General features: G+C 34.6%; 1 protein-coding gene across 4 annotated transcripts in view; it reads left to right on the top strand.

Annotated features, from left to right (window-relative positions):
* The window catches only part of TMPRSS15 (transmembrane serine protease 15), a 216,769-nt gene that overhangs the window by 6,451 nt on the left and 189,162 nt on the right, over window positions 1-21,156 (top strand). For 2 of the 4 annotated variants that reach the window (XM_047440913.1, XM_047440912.1), the window contains exon 1: window positions 18,758-18,862. The exons of the other annotated variants lie outside the window; for them this stretch is intronic. The gene's annotated coding sequence lies outside the window, so the exon portion shown is untranslated. Of the gene's footprint in view, window positions 1-18,757; window positions 18,863-21,156 lie in introns of those variants that run through there. 4 annotated transcript variants of the gene reach the window in all.

The raw sequence follows: 21,156 nt of genomic DNA, 5'->3' as shown, positions 1-21,156 counted from the left end.
AGTTAGGTAGTAAACAAATTTTAATCACCAATGGCCTGACAGTCTTTCACAGAGAAAAGTTTGGCTTGATTATTAATACTATCATTTCCTAAGTTTTGGTGAATTCTGAATATGCCACATTTGACATTAAAATTAGTGTATATGCATTTGTTTATGAATGTATGTATTTGTATGCATGTATGTGTAGATTCCAATCATATAGGAACTTCCAACTTTAAGGGCCATGGACATATGAAAGTATTATGCAGAAAGAAATCTTAGCATTTTTTTAAACCTGATATATACAGATTGAGCATTCCAAATCCAAAAATCAAACATCTGAAACTTTTTGAGTGGGAATATAACCATCAAATGAATGCTCACTGGAGCATTTCCAATTTCAGATTTTCAGATGTGGGATGCTCAACCAGTAAGTATAATGCAAATATCCAAAATCCAAAAGAAATCTGACATATGAAAGAGTTCTGTTCTCAAGTATTTGGAATAAGGAATATTCCACATGTATATCTGTGAGAGTCTGGAGGGTGTTGAAAGGGGAAATAGGAATTTTATAGTAGAGAAATAGAGAAACATGGTCAAAACTATCTTAATCAAATTGTAAAGGTTAATCTCACCAATAATTTTATGTTGACATTGTGTGTTCCCTCATAAAATGTGAGAAGATTGCTTCACCTCTGACATGTTCTTTCCAAGAATCTATAACCTCAATCTAACCATGAGGAAAACATCAGACAATTCCAAGTCTGATGACAAGGAAACAAGCGAAGACTGAGAAACTCTCACAGATTAGAGGAGACTGGAGAGACATGACAAGTAAATGCCATGTGGTACTCTGTATCAGGTTCTGAAACAGAGGATGTTTGTGGAAAGACTGGTGAAATCCAATTAATGTCTGGAGTTCACATAAAATGATGTTGAAATCTTAGTTTCGATGAATATACCAGGGTACTGTGAGGTGGTAATAAAGGGTGAAACTGGAAGAGGGGTACAACAGAACTTTCTGTATTACCCTATTTATTTCTGTAAGTATAAATTAATTCCAAAATGAAAAGTTGTCTTAAACAATCTGATATCCTAGAGGCTAGAATAGAGAAGGATTAAAATTAAAGCAAGGGACGAACAGCATAACCAAGATGGGAGATAATCAAACTGGGTAGGGACGGTGTAGATGGAGACATGAAAATGATTCATTTGAGATTTAAGTACTAAAAAGGAAACATGACTTAAAAATAATTTCCAAAGGCTGCTTTAACGTTTCTAGTTACTGCATCATGTAGTCAATGTATATTGACTTTACTCTGGAAAAAAACATCATTTGCCTTTCCATAATCATGATTAAGAGATTTCAACATCTTGTATATACACAGGGGCATTTACGGACCCAAGGTAGGATTAGTTATTGACTTTTATGTATTCCATTCCTCACAGATGACTTTATAGATTTAAATGGCCATTATTTACTTTTGCCACCTCAAGTCCCTTCACTCTTGGGATTAAGGAACCTTTCCTAATTGTGGGTGATAACCACATTTTTAAACACAGGATTGGAGTCTAAATCTATTCCCATGTCTGAAAATGGGCATATAATTGGATCTGAGATAAACAGCCTAAAACATTGCTACAGTAAGGGTGATTATTCAGGAAGGAATTATGAACAACATATAGTATATAATCTTCAATCAGACTCTTCAGTAAGTGAAAGTAAACTTTATATTTTCTCTAGATTTGCACTTTGATGAATGCCATCCTGGAGCTCCTAGAAACCAGTGCCATGAGTAAAGCCAGCCTGGAAGAGAAAAGATCTAAGCCCAGCTATGACTGTGTCTGTCACTTGAGTTTCTTAATAAGACCCTACATGACCTGAATTACATGAGTCCCTTCTCTACTCCTTTTCTGTTCAAGCCAGTTTCAGTTAAATTTCCATGTTTGTTACTTGCAACTAAAAGCCCTAAAGGAGAAATGATATCTTATAATAATGGACTCTATCATTTGTATGAACTTTCTATCTATAAATGTGATGGCCTTTGATGACTTCTAATTGTTATTTCAAGTCACACGAAAAAATGCAGAACAGCCTAGAGTTCGGTGAGAATTCTGAAATGTATGATTAGAGACCTTACTCCAATTCATATCCAGCCGCTGGAAGTGAGTCACAATTGGTGTAACGCAGTAATTCTCAAACATTAGAGTACTTCAAAATGTTCTGAGGAGCTTGTTAATCATCTGCAGGCTCCACTGCCAGTTTCTAACTCGGTAAGATTGGTTTGGAACCTGAAAATTTGGATTTCTAACAACTTGCCATAGATGACACTTTAAGAGCCACTGGTCAAGGCGTATCATATTAACTTTTGCCCTCATTACTCTGCAAGTCAGATAAGCGCTTTTCAGAAACACTTTTCACTGTTTAAAGAAAAATATAGGGTAATAGAGTTTCCCTTTTCTACTCTTTTTTCTTCCAGTGTTATGCATTGTAATGGGAGAATGTGGCATTTGGAGTTAGCACAGCCTTATTGGAATAAAAAAAAAAAGAGAGAGAGAATTGCAGAAGTACCCACTCACTGCACTGACCAGCCCTGAGACTGACTTCTGCAAATTAATGGCATTATTATTATCTAACCATTAGTCAAGTACTATGCTACTTTACTGTGCCTAGAAATCCTTATAAGTGGTCTACTATAATTGGTATGAAAGCCTTTTCTTGTAAGTTATTTTTAATGCAGCAATGTTTTTCTTTAGGTCCTGTAAACCCACAGCACGGGGCTGTGATGACATGGGTATATGGAAATCCATCTATCTACATGGATATATATGACATGTATGGATATATGAAGAGTTTCTTAAACACAGAGATGCCCAATAAATATTTGCTGATTTTGACAGTTTCACTTTAGCATAAAATAGTTTGTTTCAAGCACAAAAATGTTTTCATGTATTTTTTATTTCTCCTGTTAAACAGATTGCAAAAACCCCCCAAAAGCTTGTCTCTTTTTAATATTATAGTTCATTTTCCCTTTAAAGAAATATTTCTCTTGCACAATGATTTGAAATACATTTTTCTACCAGAAATCTAAAAATATTTCAATAAGGGAAAAAATCTAGGGTTGCAATTTGAGGTCATAAAATAACACATGCTAAAAATTGGAGTAAATGTATCTTTTCTTGTCAAGAAGTATTTATAAATCCCACTTAGAAGGACATCATTTCTCAGGATATTCTAAAGCCCTAAGTCAGCTGTTTAATAGAGAAGAATACTAAGAAATATGATTCAGATAAAATAGTTTTATGGCATATAATTTTTTTCATATATGATTTCTTAATGCTGTTAGAATGTCCCTATAATTCAGACTCGTAAATATTATGTCAAACACTTCTTTGGCTCTTGGAACACAGTAAAATACAATTCTCATTAATACTTAACTTACCATATTCTGCATCACCCAGCCTGTGGCAATTAATGTAGCATTTCTATATTTCTGTCAATAAAATTAAATCTTACATTTAATAAATGTAGATAAGGACATAATTTTATGTGAGAAAATAAAATCTGTACAAAGTCCAAAAGTGATCTTGTTAAAGAAAAAATAAAGTTCAAAGCACTACAAGCTTTAAGCCAAAGTAATTGCTCCCTTGTTTGTACTATGTGGGCTTTGTCTTAAATTATAGCACATGCTAGTCGTGACTAATGAAGCGAGCTTAAAGGGCAGTTTTCAGCCAAACAACCTATATCATTTACTCAAAATTAACAGGAAATAATCAGCATTTTTATTGAAATCTCCTTTTATTTCTCCCTCTTTTTGAAATGACTGGGAGGAAAAACTTTCAATCAAAGAAGAAAATTTTTTGAGACAGAGTCTTGCTCTGTCATCCAGGCTGGAGTGCAGTGGCACTATCATGGCTCACTGCAGCCTCAACCACCTGGGTTCAAGTGATCCTCCCACCTCGGACTACTGAGTAGCTGGGACTACAGGCCCGCGACACCACACCTGGCTAATTTTCGTATTTTTAGTAGAGATGAGGTTTTGCCATGTTGCCCAGGCTGGTCTCTAACGTGTGTGGCCTCAAGCAATCCTCCCACCTTGGCCTCCCAAATTGCGAGCCACTGTTGCCTGACTTGTTTTTTATTTCTTTATGTTTCATTACATCTGACATTCTAATGATAGACTTTTTTTAGCTCAATCTTTATATCAGTTTTAAAAGCTAATAGAATAGGAATCAACTCTGAAAAGGAGTAGTTTGGGATTGGCATTTATACATGACTGAAGTCAAATAAAAAATCGAATCTCTATTGGATTGATACATTACTGCATATTAATTTACAGCCTCTATTGGAAAAAAACAAAACAATGGGCTTAGGTCCCAGCTGTCCTAGAAATAATGTTAAAAGTGTCGTTATGAGGGAGAATACTGAAGTGGGGGCACTCTATATTATGGTCTCACATCTTCCTAGACCACGTAGCTGTATAATCTCATCTAACTCACATGAAGTAAATGTCTGTGGGGAGGCTGATAAATTCGTCATGATTCTAATAATCTGAGATTGAGCTCTTGTACCTGTGTCTGAGCTCCATGAACATTGCCCCACTACACAGAAAATTAAGACAGGTTTGTGTAGCCTCAGTCAGACTAGGATAATCTGACCGCCTTTTCTATGAAGTAAATAATTGGAAGGGAGAAACATAGATCTTAAGAGTACTAGAACCCAGTAACATCTTTTGTTTGTTCTGATCTTCTCAGCTTTTGGCTATTTAGCTCTTACTAGCTTCTTTGAAGAATTCTCTTTGTTGATCATAACAGCCACCTTGCACTTCATGCACTTTATTCATATATAAACATGGCAAAATTTAGGCCAGGTGCGGTGGCTCACACCTGTAATCTCAGCACTTTGGGAGGCCGAGGTGTATGGATCACCTGAGGTCAGGAGTTTGAGACCAGCCTGACCAACATAGTGAAACCCCATCTCTACTAAAAATACAAAATTAGCTGGGCATGGTGATGCATGTCTGTAATCCCAGCTACTTGGGAGACTGAGGCAGGAGAATCACTTGAACCCAAGAGGCGAAGGTTGCAGTGAGCAAAGATTGAGCCATAGCACTCCAGCCTGGGCAATAAGAGTGAAACTCCATCTCAAAAAAAAAAAATAGCAAAATGTATATCTTTTTTAATATCTCTGCCTACTTATCTACCTATATGTATCTCTCTGGCTATTGGGTGTATAGAAATACACATATACATATAGATGGAGATATGAGATATGGATATAGGAATACCCACATACAGAGATATATGGGTATATATATATAACATATATGGATATATATGCAACTTTATATTATAAAAAGGATGACAGTGTAGTGAAAAACTGCCCCTTTGAAAGTAGGAGCATTGAATAACTTAATGATCACTAGCTTCTAGTCTTTGTTTAATACCATCTGTCTATTTAATACCATCTGTAGTCAATCACATATGAATGAGACTGACCAAGACAGGACAAACCCTTGATGGCAAACTAGTTGAAACAGTTAAGAAAAAGTGAATAGTAAATTATATCAATAAAGTGAATTTTCCTGTTCATTAATGAGAAAAACTGCATTAACAAGGAGATTATAAGAATGTATTTTTAAAAAATCTCCTTACTTAATAATGAATTACAATATGCAGGCAAAAACATAAAAAAGAAAAATTAGAAGTTGATATTCTTAGGATGTGAATGGGTGGTATTATCAGTTGCACAACCAATTTTACCTTCTCTTTTAGAAAAAAATACTTCTCAGGTCCAATTCCCTAGAGCTGCTATAAGAATCCTTCTTAAATATTTTATTCCAAATATTTATGTGAAAACAGGTAACCCTGTGAATGATTAAAATAACACACATCAACTTATAATGGGTAAAATAAAAAGAAAGGTAGTAAAGTAAAATATTATAGGATTGTTCTAAGAAAGGTCAAAGTTGGACCTGTTGCCTGTTCATTCATATATTATGAGGTTCTTTTTTGATCTATTTAGCATGCTTTTCCTGATTATAATCGATACAACTGACTGGCCTTGGTCATGGTTATGGATATAACCTGCAGATTTCATTAATAAATGTAAGGAAAAATTTCAGGGTTCTAATAACCAAATGCAGATTTTATAAAATAACATTCTACTAACTAAATTTTAAAATAAATCATACTATTTTTCCCTTTGGCCAATGACCTCCCTTGTCTTTTATCCAGATACTTATTAAAAGGCAAGGAGAAACTTGTACTTTGAAAAATCCATCCCAGCATAAAGAGCTTCTGATTTTTATGCTACTCCAGGAACTCAGCTTTAGATAAGGGTGCTTTGTTATTGCATTTAACTTATTTATTACCTCTCTCCCTTGGGATTTCAAACATTGAGCTAGGACAACAGCTTGAACAGATTTCTTATCCTAGTCCTTTAAAGTGATTCTAATGGAATTCATCTGGATACAAACAATAACATCCATCTTGTAGTAGTTATCACTATAATCACATGCCTTATTAAATGAATCTTATCAATCTTACGTGCTATTATTGTGCCTTCTTATTGGAATAACTACCTACTGTTCACATTTTCAACAAGGTCATTGATACATTAAATAATTATACTGCAGTTTTTCTTATAGCCCTAACTTCAAATATGTCCATTCATTGATTTTAGTAGCTACTCAGTTTCTTTTTCTTTTCCCACTGATTTGCTGTACTTAAAATTTTAATGTATTATTTTAATTGCATCACCGGGCAAATATTTCCTTTCTAATTCTGCTCTCTGTCATAGCCTCATTTTTTGCTTTCTTTGAACCTGTACCAATAATTTAGACTCATCAAGCAGTTTATTTATTGTAGTGATTTGTAAAATTATTTTAAGCTAGTTCTTTGAATATCATGAAGTTAATACAAACCTAGCCAATTAAATGATTATATATGTGTGTGTATGTGTGTGTGTGTGTATATATATATATATATATATATATAATTCTTTTAGCTTTAAATTTGCACCCTTACTATGTATCCTGTATTTTTAGAAATATCACTCAAATAATTGGCTACCTGAATTGAACCCCATAGGCTAAAAGGGAGAAGTTCATTTTTAGAACATACGTTTATTTAATTTCAGGCTAGTTTGGTTAAGGTATGACATGCACACTATGAGACTTATTTATTACTTCTACCTCCAGCCTCTTTTCTCATAGAACAAAAAAAAATTTCTTTTTAGTGATATGAAAATAAAATCACAGGTAATCCTTCTTAAAGGTGTATGTTTTTCTGATGCAACAATTATTTCTTAATGTTTATATAACCTAAACTTTCCATCTTGATTTTGTTATTTACGTAATGAGATCTTCTTCTAAAGCAACTTCTGACTGAAGCCATTTCATCTTGAGAAAAAAATGGATTATTCTGTCTCTCCCTATGATTTTCCTTTTACTTTCCATTTAATCAGTTTGCTTCAGCCAACTGTTACACAAAAAGGCATGTCCACACTCTCTTGCTCTTCACCCTCACCTCATCAGGCCAACCACAGTGAGTGCTGATTCGCTGATTCCCTTCATGTTATTGGCTGTGGTGAATTCTCCTGCCTTTTTTTTGCCCTCATCTGTGGCCAAGCTATAAAACCATTTCTTAGTTTCTAACTGGCAGAGAAAGGAAGCAAAGATCTACAGGAGCAGACAACTTTTTGCATTGATTTTGCCTATGGTATGGGCATGCAGAATTTTCACACTCCAAGTGATTTTGCCATTTGAGTGGCTGGTTGCAAAGGTTTCTATAAAAATTATCATTAAGTTTTCAAAAATATGGATTATTTATAGGATTGTGTAAGACACCGTGTCTATCCCACATACTTATTCTTTGAGGTATCCTTATTTCTGCACTGCAGGTTTGTCAGCTTGAGCAAACATTACTTAGGCTTTAGGAACCAGGAAAAACACCATATTATGCTGTTTTTTTTTTTCAAAACTGAAAGATTAAGAAGACAGCAATCCCTCCAGGAATTACAACAATAAATAGTTACAGATTTAGACCATTAACTTGTATTTGGCTGTAAAAAGTTCTATATACTAAACACAACAGCTAAGATAACCAAGAGAGTGATGGCTAAGTAGGGGAACAATAATGCATCTAACACTATAGCAACATATATACATACTATTGATAGAAAAAATCATAGATATGAAATTACAAATCTGCAAATAGGACATTCTTTTTGTTTTTGTTGTTGTTGTTATTATCAAAACCAGCTTAATTTCCTTTTAGAGACATCTTGCAACCTTAATACAGTTCTGTTGAAACCCCAAATTTCTGCCTTTGGCAAGAAAAAATGAGTCCTATCTCTGACAGTTCACTTTGGAGTTTTGTTTCACAGTATAAAATGGTGTTTCAGTGACATCTTTCATATATCAACTATCATGGGTAATAGAGATGTAAGAAGTATTGAAAAAAATTATCCTAATTTTTACGTATCTTGTGATTTTTCTATTTCTAGACTAATCTTTTTAAAGATACAAAAATCGGTTCCCCAGAGAATCATTCTATGGATACTTTTTTCCACAAAGAGGAAAATATCTCCATGGAAAACCTTCATTGTATAAATTTAAAGTTTTTTATACTATATTTTGAGGCTCTCTTGTTTTCTGAAATGTGGAATATTCAGAATAAGATCATATGCCTTCTCTATCTCCCATTTTTTCATATTTCCTTTCCTCTCGTTCTAATGGCAAAGTAAAATGAAGTTTATCTATTGATAATTGCAACAACAGAGGAAAGAAAACAACAAAGGAGAATAAAGAGTCTGTGCAACTCAACTGAGATATACATGAAATCTCTGGGCAGACCTTGACAACATAATTTTGAAAAATAAATTTTAAAACTTTCAGATATACTGCTTCTTTTATACACACTTAACCATCACCCAGAGTATCAGAGGGAGAAATAACTCAGCATTTGCTTAGAATTCATTTATTTTCGGTTGGGGTAAGAGTTCTTCGTGTCATCTAGACCTAGGTATACAGTATAATTGTATAGAAATTTGTAGTTCATAGACACTTTGTGCAATATTCTTGACAGTTTGCAAGGACAGGGAGGCTCCTAAAAAGCATACTTTTTTTTTTGTTTTCTGTATTGATAAGGAATATAGGAGGGTCAAGTACATGGAATGGAATAGTATGCAAGAAAAAAGTTAACTAAGGAAGATGTGAAGGCCCAAAGAAAAGTTGGAGAGAGATGACAGAGATTTCTTGATGTCAAGGCCTTAGTAACACCTTCATTAAAAGAGAGCAAAGGCTATTCTCAAAGTAATCCTGACTTGCTCCAGTATTCCTGACTCTATAGTATTCATGACTCTAGTAGATTTGTTCACCAGAAAATTTACCAAAAAAACTAGGCTATCTTTCCTTTGTTTTAGACCCAAGTAAATAACAATGCAAAATATATTTAGGACAATTTATGAAATTTACCAAAGGTTAACAATGATTCTATTACTATTTCTGCTTTCAAGGTAATTGAGAAAATTCAGAATCATTTACTTATTGGAAACATGGAAAAAGATAGAGCTATTTTTAACTTTAATATAGGTACAAAACTATTTAATAAAGACACAAGACTATTTGCAGAGATAGGCTACAATAACGAGACAGTTATTTTTATGGCCAACAGAAATAGGGTGAATTACTTACTGCATATTTGTTTGTCTTCCCCACAAAATTACAAATCAGTTTACAGGAGGATCCCCAAAATAACTTTGCTCCTTAATTATATTAACTCCCCACTAAAATCTATCATGATATGTGGCTCTTGTATTGTATACTTTCTTCCTGATTTAAATCAAAGTTTGAACAATTGTAATGAATATTATAATAATAGCTTATATGAGGAGCAAGGCAATATAAACCAGAGGGGAATTATCTGATGATTTACTACAAAGCTTCTAGAATTGTCCCAATCATTTTCAAAAGCTAAATGTAAAATTTAATATTTTTATATCCTAAAAAACAGAGCATATTAATAATTTAGGTAATTCTTTTGTGACAAAAAAATGTTGCCTGAAGGCCAAGGGCAATAAACAGAACCTCAGGAAAATTCTAAAATGGAACACATCAGATTGCATAATTAAATTTAGATAAGGAACTATAAACCATAACTTTGTAAAGCCCAAAGCCTAAATTTAGGCATTCAAGCACTTAAGAAGGAAGTGATCTCCTTCTTTTATTACAAACATTTATTTACATCCAAAAGAATTCTATAATATACATGCCCTCTTCCTGCCTCCAAACTGTAATTGAAAAATAAAGGAAAACTGCTGGCAGTGCAGCTGTAGTTAGGGCTGCATATATTAGCCGGGTGGACATAAGAGCCAAGGCTTTCAACAGCCAGCTGCAATTGCTTTTTCCTCCGGTATTTATGTTAAAGCATGTGATTTTCTACTTTATATACATGCAAATTTTATTAGCACCAGAATGATTTCTTTCATTCAGAGGAAGTCGTAACTTATGACTACGCCTGCGTACTCCACATTTTGTTTTGCTTTTCTAAACTGAAAGTTATTACCAGAACATATTTTTGAAACCTAACAGGGTGCAGCTTGCACCGTCAAAGTAGAATTACATATGGTACCACCTGGAGGTATGATAGAGGGTAAATTAAAAGGCAGGGGACAAAGTGTATACCCAAAGTACAATTACTCGTTTATTGCTAAATGAAATAAATGAAACATTGGGTGTGGGTAAAGAAAACAATTATTCTCCTTTGAAGCTTTTCTTGTATTATGTTTTTGAAGCTGTGGTTCATTTCTCAATTTGTAAATCAAATATGAGACTTCTAAATGTATATAATAAAAGTTTGTAGAAATAATTGATGAAGCAAATAAAAAAAGGCAAAACTTTTTGTTGATTTTTTTTTTGTTTGAAAAACTGAATGCTTTCCTGGATTTCTCTCTTCTGTTTATGCACCAGAAATTAGTCTCCAGAGAGGTCTAAGGAGGCTGAGCCAGTGAAAGACATTATAGATAATGAATAAACAAGAGAAGTATCTTCTTCAGTAACCTGCAATTGTATATCAATATTATACCAACCTGAATTGGCTGTGTCACCATAATTGAAATAAAGCAGTTGTCTATTTTGCCAGTGTGATGCTGTAGTGGGAGAACAGAGGAAAAGCTATAGCACTGAGGTTAAATCATTCACTGATATCACAAAAGGAGCCTCTCTGTTTCTTGTCCAAAAATGAGTGGGTTGAAATAGGGATGGTCAATAGTCATTGTAAGCCTTCCAAATCTCTAAGGATCTAAAAACAAACATAAGACCTCAAAAGTTGTAATCCTTTTGAATATAGAAATCTGTAGAGTTTAAATAACCAACTATATATCCTATAATTTTGTAATTTTTATGTAAATATGGTCTTTTCAACTTTTTGTGGAACTTTCAAAAGTTCTCTTTCTCTTTACCTCCACTGTCTCTCTGTCTCTCCTCTCTTGTCTTTCTTTTTCTCTTCTGTTTTAAAAAACTAAAACTAAAACTACACAAATACACTTTTTGACATACTTTCAGTTTCTCTCAGGTCATGCAACCATAATCTCCCGTTTATTTTCACTCCACTAACTTCTTAGATTCGTTTATTGGTAGCATCCATAGGACAATATTATAAAATATCTTTATCATATTATCATTCCCACAACAAAAGTCTTAGGTCCCTGGTTCTAGCTCCTGATTGGGCCCCACCTTCCTCTTTACACAGACACACAATTTTCCCCCACTGATTGAATCTGTATATTTTAGATTTAGGAATTCTACTTTATTTCTTCCCTTTTCATCTCTTCCCTAAAACATTTTTCCAAGTCAGACAATTTTTTAAACTCTGGTATGTTAGGTATTTTGTAACAAAATAATCAAAGGTAAACCACTCTATCTGCTATTTTCTTCTCAGTATTGGATTTATCAAGACTTATTACTCAAAAGAATGCATTCTTGTCCTCAAATTATAGCTCCATGATAGGCAAGTAGGAACTTAGTTTATTATTATTATTATTATTATTATACTTTTCATTCTGGGATACATGTGCAGAACGTGCAGGTTTGTTACATAGGTATACACATGCCATGGTGGTTTGCTGCACCATCAACCCATCATCTACATTAGGTATTTCTCCTAATGCTATCCCTCCCCCAGCCTCCTACCCATCGACAGGCCCTGGCGTGTGATGTTCCCCTCCATGTCCAAGTGTTCTTATTGTTCAGCTCCCACTTATGAGTGAGAACATGCAGTGTTTGGTTTTCTGTTCCTGTGTTAGTTTGCTGAGAATGATGGTTTCCAGCTTCATCCATGTCCCTGCAAAGGACATGAACGCATCCTTTTTTATGGCTGCATAGTATTCCATGGTGTATATGTGCCACATTTTCTTTATCCAGTCTATCATTGATGGGCATTTGGGTTGGTTCCAAGTCTTTGCTATTGTGAACAGTGCTGCAATAAACATACATGTGCATGTGTCTTTATAGTAGAATGATTTATAATCCTTTGGGTATATACCCAGTAATGTGATTGCTGGGTCAAATGGTATTTCTGGTTCTAGATCCTAGAGGAATCTCCAGACTGTCTTCCACAATGGTTGAACTAATTTACACTCTCACCAACTGTGTACAAGCATTCCTGTTTCTCCACATCCTCTCCAGCATCTGTTGTTTCCTGACTTTAATGATCACCATTCTAACTGGTGTGAGATGATATCTCATTGTGGTTTTGATTTGCATTTCTCTAGTGACCAGTGTTGTTGAGCTTTTTTTCATATGTTTGTGAGCCACATAAATGTCTTCTTTTGAGAAGTGTCTGTTCATATCCTTTGCCCACTTTTTGATGGGGTTGTTTTTTTCTTGTATATTTGTTAAAGTTCCTTGTAGATTCTAGATATTAGCCCTTTGTTAGATGGATAGATTGCAAAAATTTTCTCCCATTCTGTAGGTTGCCTGTTTAGTCTGACGGTAGTTTTTTTTTTGCTGTGCAGAAGCTGTTTAGTTTAATTAGATCCCATTTGTCCATTTTGGCTTTTGTTTCCATTGCTTTTGGTGTTTTAGTCATGAAGTGTTTGCCCATGCCTATGTCCTGAATGGTAATGCCTAGGTTTTCTTCTAGGGGTTTTTTGGCTTTAGGTCTTACATTTAAGTCTTTAATCCATCTTGAGTTAATTTTTGTATAAGGTGTAAGGAAGGGATCCAGTTTCACTTTTCTGCATATGGCTAGCCAGTTTTCCCAACACCATTTATTAAATAGGGAATCCTTTCCTCGTTGCTTGTTTTTGTCAGATTTTTCAAAGATCAGATGGTTGTAGATATGTGACGTTATTTCTGAGGCTTATTTCCTGTTCCATTGGTCTATATATCTGTTTTGGTACCAGTACCATGCTATTTTGGTTACTGTAGCCTTGTAGTATAGTTTGAAGTCAGTTAGTGTGATGCCTCCAGCTTTGTTCTTTTCGCTTAGGATTGTCTTGGCTATATGTGCTCTTTTTTGGTTCCATATGAAATTTAAAATAGTTTTTTCTAATTCTGTGAAGAAAGTGAAGGGTGTCTTGATGGGAATAGCATTGCATGTATAAATTACTTTGGGCAGTATGGCCATTTTCACCATATTGATTCTTCCTATCCATGAGCATAGAAGGCTTTTCCATTTGTTTGTGTCCTCTCTTATTTCCTTAAGCAGTGGTTTGTAGTTCTCCTTGAAGACGTTCTTCACATCCCTTTTAAGTTGTATTCCTAGGTACTTTATTTTCTTTGTAACAATTGTGAATGGGAGTTCACTCATGATTTGGCTCTCTGTTTGTCTGTTATTTGTTTATAGGAATGCCTGTGATTTTTGCACATAGATTTTGTATCCTGAGACTTTGCTGAAGTTGCTTATCAGCTTAAGGAGATTTTAGGCCGAGACAATGGGGTTTTCTAAATACACAATGATTTCATCTGCAAACAGAGACAATTTGACTTCCTCTCTTCCTATTTGAATACCCTTTATTCCTTTCTCTTGCCTGATTTCCCTGGCAAGAACTTCTAACACTGTGTTGAATAGGAGTGGTGAGAGAGGGCATCCCTGTCTTGTGCCGGTTTTCAAAGGGAATACTTCCAGCTTTTTCCCACTCTGTATGATATTGGCTGTGGGTTTGTCATAAATAGCTCTTATTATTTTGAGATACGTTCCATCAGTATCTAGTTTATTGAGAGTTTTTTGCATGAAGGGGTGTTGAATTTTATTCAAGGCCTTTTCTGCATCTATTGAGATAATCATGTGGTTTTTGTCATTGGTTCTGTTTATGTGATGGATTACATTTATTGATTTGTGTATGTTGAACCAGCCTTGCATCCCAGGGATGAAGCCGAATTGATCATGGTGGATAAGCTTTTTGATGTGCTGCTGTATTCGTTTTGCCTGTATTTTATTGAGGATTTTCACATCGATGTTCATCAGGGATATTGGCCTAAAATTTTCTTCTTTTCTTGTGTCTCTGCCAGGTTTTGGTAAAAGGATGATGCTGGCCTCAAGAAATGAGTTAGGGAGGAGTGCCTCTTTTTCTATTGTTTGTAAGAGTTTCAGAAGGAATGGTACCAGCTCCTCTTTGTACCTCTGGTAGAAATTGGCTGTGAATCCATCTGGTCCTGGGCTTTTTTTGGTTGGTAGGCTATTAATTACTGCCTCAATTTCAGAAATTGTTATTGGTCTATTCAGGGATTTGACTTCTTCCTGGTTTAGTCTTGCAGGGGTGTATGTGTCCAGGAATTTATCCATTTTTTCCAGATTTTCTAGTTTATTTGCATAGAGATGTTTATACTATTCTCTGATGGTAGTTTGTATTTCTATGGGGTTGGTGGTGATATCCCCTTTATCATATTTTATTGTGTTTATTTGATTCTTCTCTCTCTTCTTTATTAATCTGACTAGCAGTCTATCTATTTTGTTAAACTTTTCAAAAAACCAGCTCCTGGATTCATTGATTTTTTTGAAGGGTTTCTCGTGTCTCTATCTCCTTCAATTCTGCTCTGATCTTAGTTATTTTTTGTCTTCTGCTAGCTTTTAAATACGTTTGCTCTTGCTTCTCTAGTTCTTTTAATTGTGATGTTAGGGTGTCGATTTTAGATCTTTCCCACTTTCTCCTCTGGGCATTTAGTGCTATAAATTTCTCTCTAAACACTGGTATAGCTGTGTCCCAGAGATTCTGGTACATTGTGTCTTTGTTCTCATGGGTTTCAAAGAACTTTTTTTTTTTTTTTTTTTTTTTTTGAGACGGAGTCTCACTCTGTCACCCAGGCTGGAGTTCAGTGGCACGATCTCAGCTCACTGCAAGCTCTGCCTCCCGGGTTCATGCCATTCTCCTGTCTCAGCCTCCCAAGTAGCTGGGACTACAGGCGCCCACCACATGCCCAGCTAATTTTTTGTATTTTTAGTAGTGACAGGGTTTCACTGTGTTTGCCAGGATGGTCTCCATCTCCTGACCTCGTGATCCACCCACCTCGGCTTCCCCAAGTGCTGGGATTACAGCCGTGAGCCACCACGCCTGGCCAAAGAACTTCTTTATTTCTGCCTTATTTTCGTTATTTATGCAGTAGTCATTCAGGAGCAGGTTGTTCAGTTTTCATGTAGTTGTGTGGTTTTGAATGAGTTTCTTAATCCTGAGTTCTAATTTGATTGCACTGTAGTATGAGAGACAATTTGTCATGACTTCCATTCTTTTGCATTTGCTGAGGAGTGTTTTACTTCCAATTATGTGGTTGATTTTAGAATAAGTGTGATGTGGTGCTGAGAGGAATGTATATTTTGTTGATTTGGGGTGGAGAGTTCTGTAGATGTCTATTAGGTCTGCTAGGTCCTGAGCTGAGTTCAAGTCCTGAATATCCTTGTTAATTTTCTGTCTCGATCTCTCTAATAGCGACAGTGGGGTGTTAAAGTCTCCCACTATTATTGTGTGGGAGTCTAGGTCTCTTGTAGGTCTCTGAGAACTTGCTTTATGAATCTGGGTGCTCCTATATTGGGTGTATATATAGTTAGGATAGTTAGCTCTACTTGATGCATTGATCCCTTTACCATGAGGTAATGCCCTTCTTTGTCTTTTTTGATCTTTGTTAGTTTAAAATCTGTTTTATCAGAGACTAGGATTGCAACCCTCCCCACCCCCGGCTTTTTTTTTTTTTTTTTTTTTTTTTTTTTTTGCTTTCCATTTGCTTGGTAAATATTCCTCCATCCCTTTATTTTGAGCCTATGCGTGTTTTTGCACGTGAAATGGGTCTCCTGAATACAGCACCCCGATGGGTCTTGACTCTTTGTCCAAATTGCCCGTCTGTGTCTTTTAATTGAGGCAATTAGCCCATTTACATGTAAGTTTAATATTGTTAAATTAATTATGCTAAATATGTTAAAAAATTATGTGAGAGATTTGACAAAGTCTCTCAGCATTTGCTTGTCTGTAAAGGATTTTATTTCTCCTTCTCTTATGAAGCTCAGTTTGGGTGGATATGAAATTCTGGATTGAAAATTCTTTTCTTTCAGAATGTTGAATATTGGCCCTCACTCTCTCTGGCTTATAGAGTTTCTGCTGAGAGATCCATTGTTAGTCTGATGGGCTTCCCTTTGTGGGTAACCTGACCTTTCTCTCTGGCTGCCCTTAAAATTTTTTTTTCCTTCATTTCAACCTTGGTGAATCTTAAATGCGTGATTTTCTTGATGCTCTACAAACCAAACTCTTTAGGCAAGCAATTTTTTTTTGAAAGCCACTTGTACAACTGTTTTTCTTGCTTGCACTTCTGCTTTTTATTTTTCATAGGCCATGTTCAAATTCTCAATATCTTAAAAATACTTTTAATAAAGTCTGCTTAAATGTTTCAAAAGTTTTATTTTATTTTATTTTAACAATGTTATTCAAATATAATGGTGTTCTTTCCTTATATATGGCCATTTACAAACTCAATATTTGCTTGATTATGTCTAATAGTGATTTATCTAATTAAATAAATTTTCTTCTAGGTGTAATATACCCTCCTGAAGTAAACCTTTATTGGACAGGTAGTTAAAAAAACAGCAATTCCAAGCATAAATTACTAGTCTACATCACACTTTCTTGTATGTAGCAACGATTTGTAGAAACAAACAATTATAATTAATTATAATTTACCACATTGTGTTTTCATATTGCTATTATACACAATCTTGAGTAATACTTGAATGCAATTTTTAGTCTTCTTTCAAGATTTTATTTCTCAAAAGACCAATTAACTGTCAGCATTCTGTGACCTTGAGAGCTAAGAGTTTGTCTCTTCTCAAAATATGAAATATATTTTCTACATGTTACCAATGCTGTGCAGTAATCTTGGTTGTGCCTCTTCTTTCATTACATGAAAATTTACAATCACATTAGGAAGGGTAAATTGAAGTCACATCATAATCATCATCACGTGAAGAATACAATAAAATTAGTCTCACAAGTGATGAAAAACTTAACTTTAAAAAATTTAATATATGCTGATCAAGGCAGTTTTTCTAATTCTGATAACCAAAGACATAGAAAGAAACTCCTCCTCCCATAAAGGAAGATTGTGCCTATTTTATAAAACATGAAGTTGAACTCAGGGCAACTATAGTATCCAAAGATCGTTGATAACTTTTAAAAGGCACTGAAAATAAATCGACTTTAAGTTATGACAAAAATTATATAGTTTTACTATATAATTAAAAGGAGGATGGGGAAGTGTCTAAAGGAAACATTATTGTACAAAGAAATTTAAAACTGTGAGGTTCAATTTTATTTCATAAACTATTCCATAAAATTTTGCTTATAACATAAAATGTGTAGTATTTCTTAGAATGAAAACTGTACTGTAAGATATTGATTTTCCCTTCCTGAAAAAGGATATGCGTGGGGAGTTTAGTTTTTCTTAATTCCTTGCTATTCATGCTACAAGATTCATACAGTGCATTTATTTTTTTTTTAAATCCTGCTTTATTAAGTTGTTACTGAAACACTAGGGATTTTGCTCACCACACAGAAAGCCAATCACTGAGACAATGAGTATTTCCAGGAAAGAAGGCTTTATGTGAGTGCTACAGTCAAGGAGAATGGAAGATTAATCTCAAATCCATTTCTTCAAGTGACTAAAATTAAGGGTTTATAGAGCAGGGAAGAAATGTAACTACATGTAGAAAAACAGAAATTAAGGAAGTGTACGAAAGAGGAGTTGGTCAATGGGTAGCAGGTGGTCTGTTAGGCAATCGTGATGGATGGAGATCTTACGTCTCATTGGCCAGATGCACTGATCTGGTAAGTTTCAGTTCCTTGATACTGTCAGGAAACCTGATGGTCGATTTGCTGAGAAAGGAACTAAGATAAGACAAATGTAATTTTTTCAAGCTCTAAGACAAGGAAGGTAAATTTCTATGTTCATTCAAGGAAAACCATAAACATCAGTTCTATGGGGAAATCAGGCTGATTTCAAGGTGAACTATCAAATAAAAATAGTATATAATTAAAGTGTAAAACATGGTGAATGCACAGCCATTGAAGGAAATAGCAATAACATGTGATGGTTAATTTTAGGTGTCAACAGTGCCCAGATGTGTGGTCAAAGATTATCATGGATGTTTCTGTGTTTTTAGATGAGATTAACATTTACTCAGTGAACTTTGAGTAAAGCATTGGGTCCTTCATTATGTGGATGAGTCTCATCCAATCAGTTGAAGGTGACTGAATAGAACAATAGATAGATCTCACATGAGTGAGAGGAATTCTACAGCAGGTAGTCTTTGCCTTTGAACTGCAGCATGAACTCTCCTCTGGGTCTCCCACCTGCCAGCCCACCCTGCAGAGTTTGCATTTGCTAGCCTCCACAATCGGGTGAGCCAATTCTTTAAAACAAATCTCTTTCTACAGACACAAACACTCTATTGTTTCTGTTTATTTGCAGAACTCTGATTACTGCACAGTACAGATAAATAATTGAATAACTTAGGTAAAATATTAAGGGTACTATCATAGGAGTTTATTCAATGAACTGCTGAATGTACTACATAGAAAGAGAAAGAAAAGTCTTGTGTTCCACTCGAGAAAGAAAAAATGACTAAATTTAATAATTCAGAATAAAACTTATGAGCAACAGATAGAATAGAAGAAAATGGTATCCAAAAAAAAACCTACTGCTAAGACTACATTTAATGGTGAAATATTGAACTCATTCTCATTAACACTGAGAATATTTTCTCTGACAACTCATTTTCCATATTGCTCTAGAGGTTCAATCCAATGCAATGAGGCAGAAAAATGTATATAAGCCATAAATACAGGAAAGTGGCAAAATTATATCTCTCTCAGAGAACATGATAATCTACATATAAAAAAGAAATTACCAAGAAACTACCTACATAATGAGTAATATTTAAACATCACAGAATAAAATATCAAAATATAAAAATCGATAGTATTATTATAAGCTATTAATAAACTACTGGTTTTTAAAAATTCATGTATTATAGCATCAAACAACATTCCTAGAAATAAATTTAATTAATTATGTGTGAGACCTTTACACTGAAAATTACAAAACTTCTCTGAGCCAATTTTAGATAATCAAAATAAATGGAGAGATGTATCATGTTCGCAGAGAAGTAACAAGTCTGAAGAATCAATAGTTCTTCTTAGATTTATTGATATATTTAAAACAATTCCCATGAAAATACCAGCATACTTTGACAAGTCAATTGTAAAATTTATATGAAAGGTAAACATTCTAGAATAAGACCAAAAATTATGAAAATAAATCAACACATTTGCAGCATTTTAATTATTAGACATATGCATTTGCTTTAAAGAAACAGTAACCAGGACATGAGATATTGACTTAAGAGTAGACACATTTGCCTGTAATCCCAGCACTTTGGGAGGATGAGGCAGGTGGATCACTTGAGGCCAGGAGTTCGAGACTAGCCTGGCCAACATGGTGAAACCCTCTCTCTACTAAAAATACAAAAATTAGCCAGGCATGATGGTGCGCCTCTGCAGTCCCAGCTACTCGAGAGGCTGAGTCATGAGAATCGCTTGAACTTGGGAGGCAGAGGTTGCAATGAGCCAAGATAGTGCCACTGCACTCCAGACTGGGCGACAGAGCAAGACTCTGTCTCAAAAGAAAAAGAAAAAAAAAAAAGAGTAGACCTGTTGATAACTGGAACAGATTAAAGAGTTCAGAAATGGATGCACCCTTATAAGATAAGTTGATTTTTATAAATGCATCAAATTAACTGGGGGAAAATTTATTGCAACCATAATGCTGGAGTAAATGAATATCCACATGGAATAAAACTAAACTTGACCTTGTACACTTTATATACCTATGCACACCATATACATATACAAAAGCACAATCAAAGACACATCATTGACTTAAACGTAAATGCTAGACTATGAAGGTCCTAGAAGAAAGCTAACGAGAGTATCTTTACTATCAAAGAAACAAGACAAATAATAAATAACAACAAAATAAAAAAGATAAATTTTATTTCATGAAAATTAAAATGATATAATCATCATAAGATATATTTTTCACTTTAGAAAACTCACATGATCAAAAGAAATAGTTGCTCATGGTATTTTTGGCAGCTGTATAGCAGTCTGCATGTGTTCTCCAACCAGGAATTTTATTTTGGGAAAAGTACCATGGGTCTGTTAGGGTTGAGATTCTCTTCTATGGGTGTTATGGAGACATTGTTAGAACTAACGCTTAATCCATTCTGTGGCTGTGAAATACATAGTTTTTGCAGTAAAATGTTAATTCTAATATTTTCTATTGTTAGTGACAGGCTCATCTCTCACAAGTCTAGCAGCTACCCCGTGTCAGAAATTTCATGAATGGAAACACTTTGTCCGACCACTTTGTGAAAACAACCGTAACTCCTCTGGAGTTCTACTTCTGCCTTTGATTAAAAGATATCCAGCAACCATTGCTGAATTTCATCTATTTGAGAACCACTTGAGATTCTTGAAACCTCAAAGACCTAACACAGTTCTGGCATAGTGTGCATTCAATATGAGTAAATTGACTAAACTGACTGAATATAGTCTAAAAGAACGAAAATTTCCCACCCTGAAGATAGATGCCAAAAGTAAGCTTTGTCATGCCTTCCCAAATATACCACTTT

This window comes from Homo sapiens, chromosome 21 (genome assembly GCF_000001405.40).
Source record: "Homo sapiens chromosome 21, GRCh38.p14 Primary Assembly".
In the NCBI taxonomy this organism is placed as follows: Eukaryota; Metazoa; Chordata; class Mammalia; order Primates; family Hominidae; genus Homo; species Homo sapiens.
This window is presented reverse-complemented; position numbering and strand designations above follow the sequence as displayed.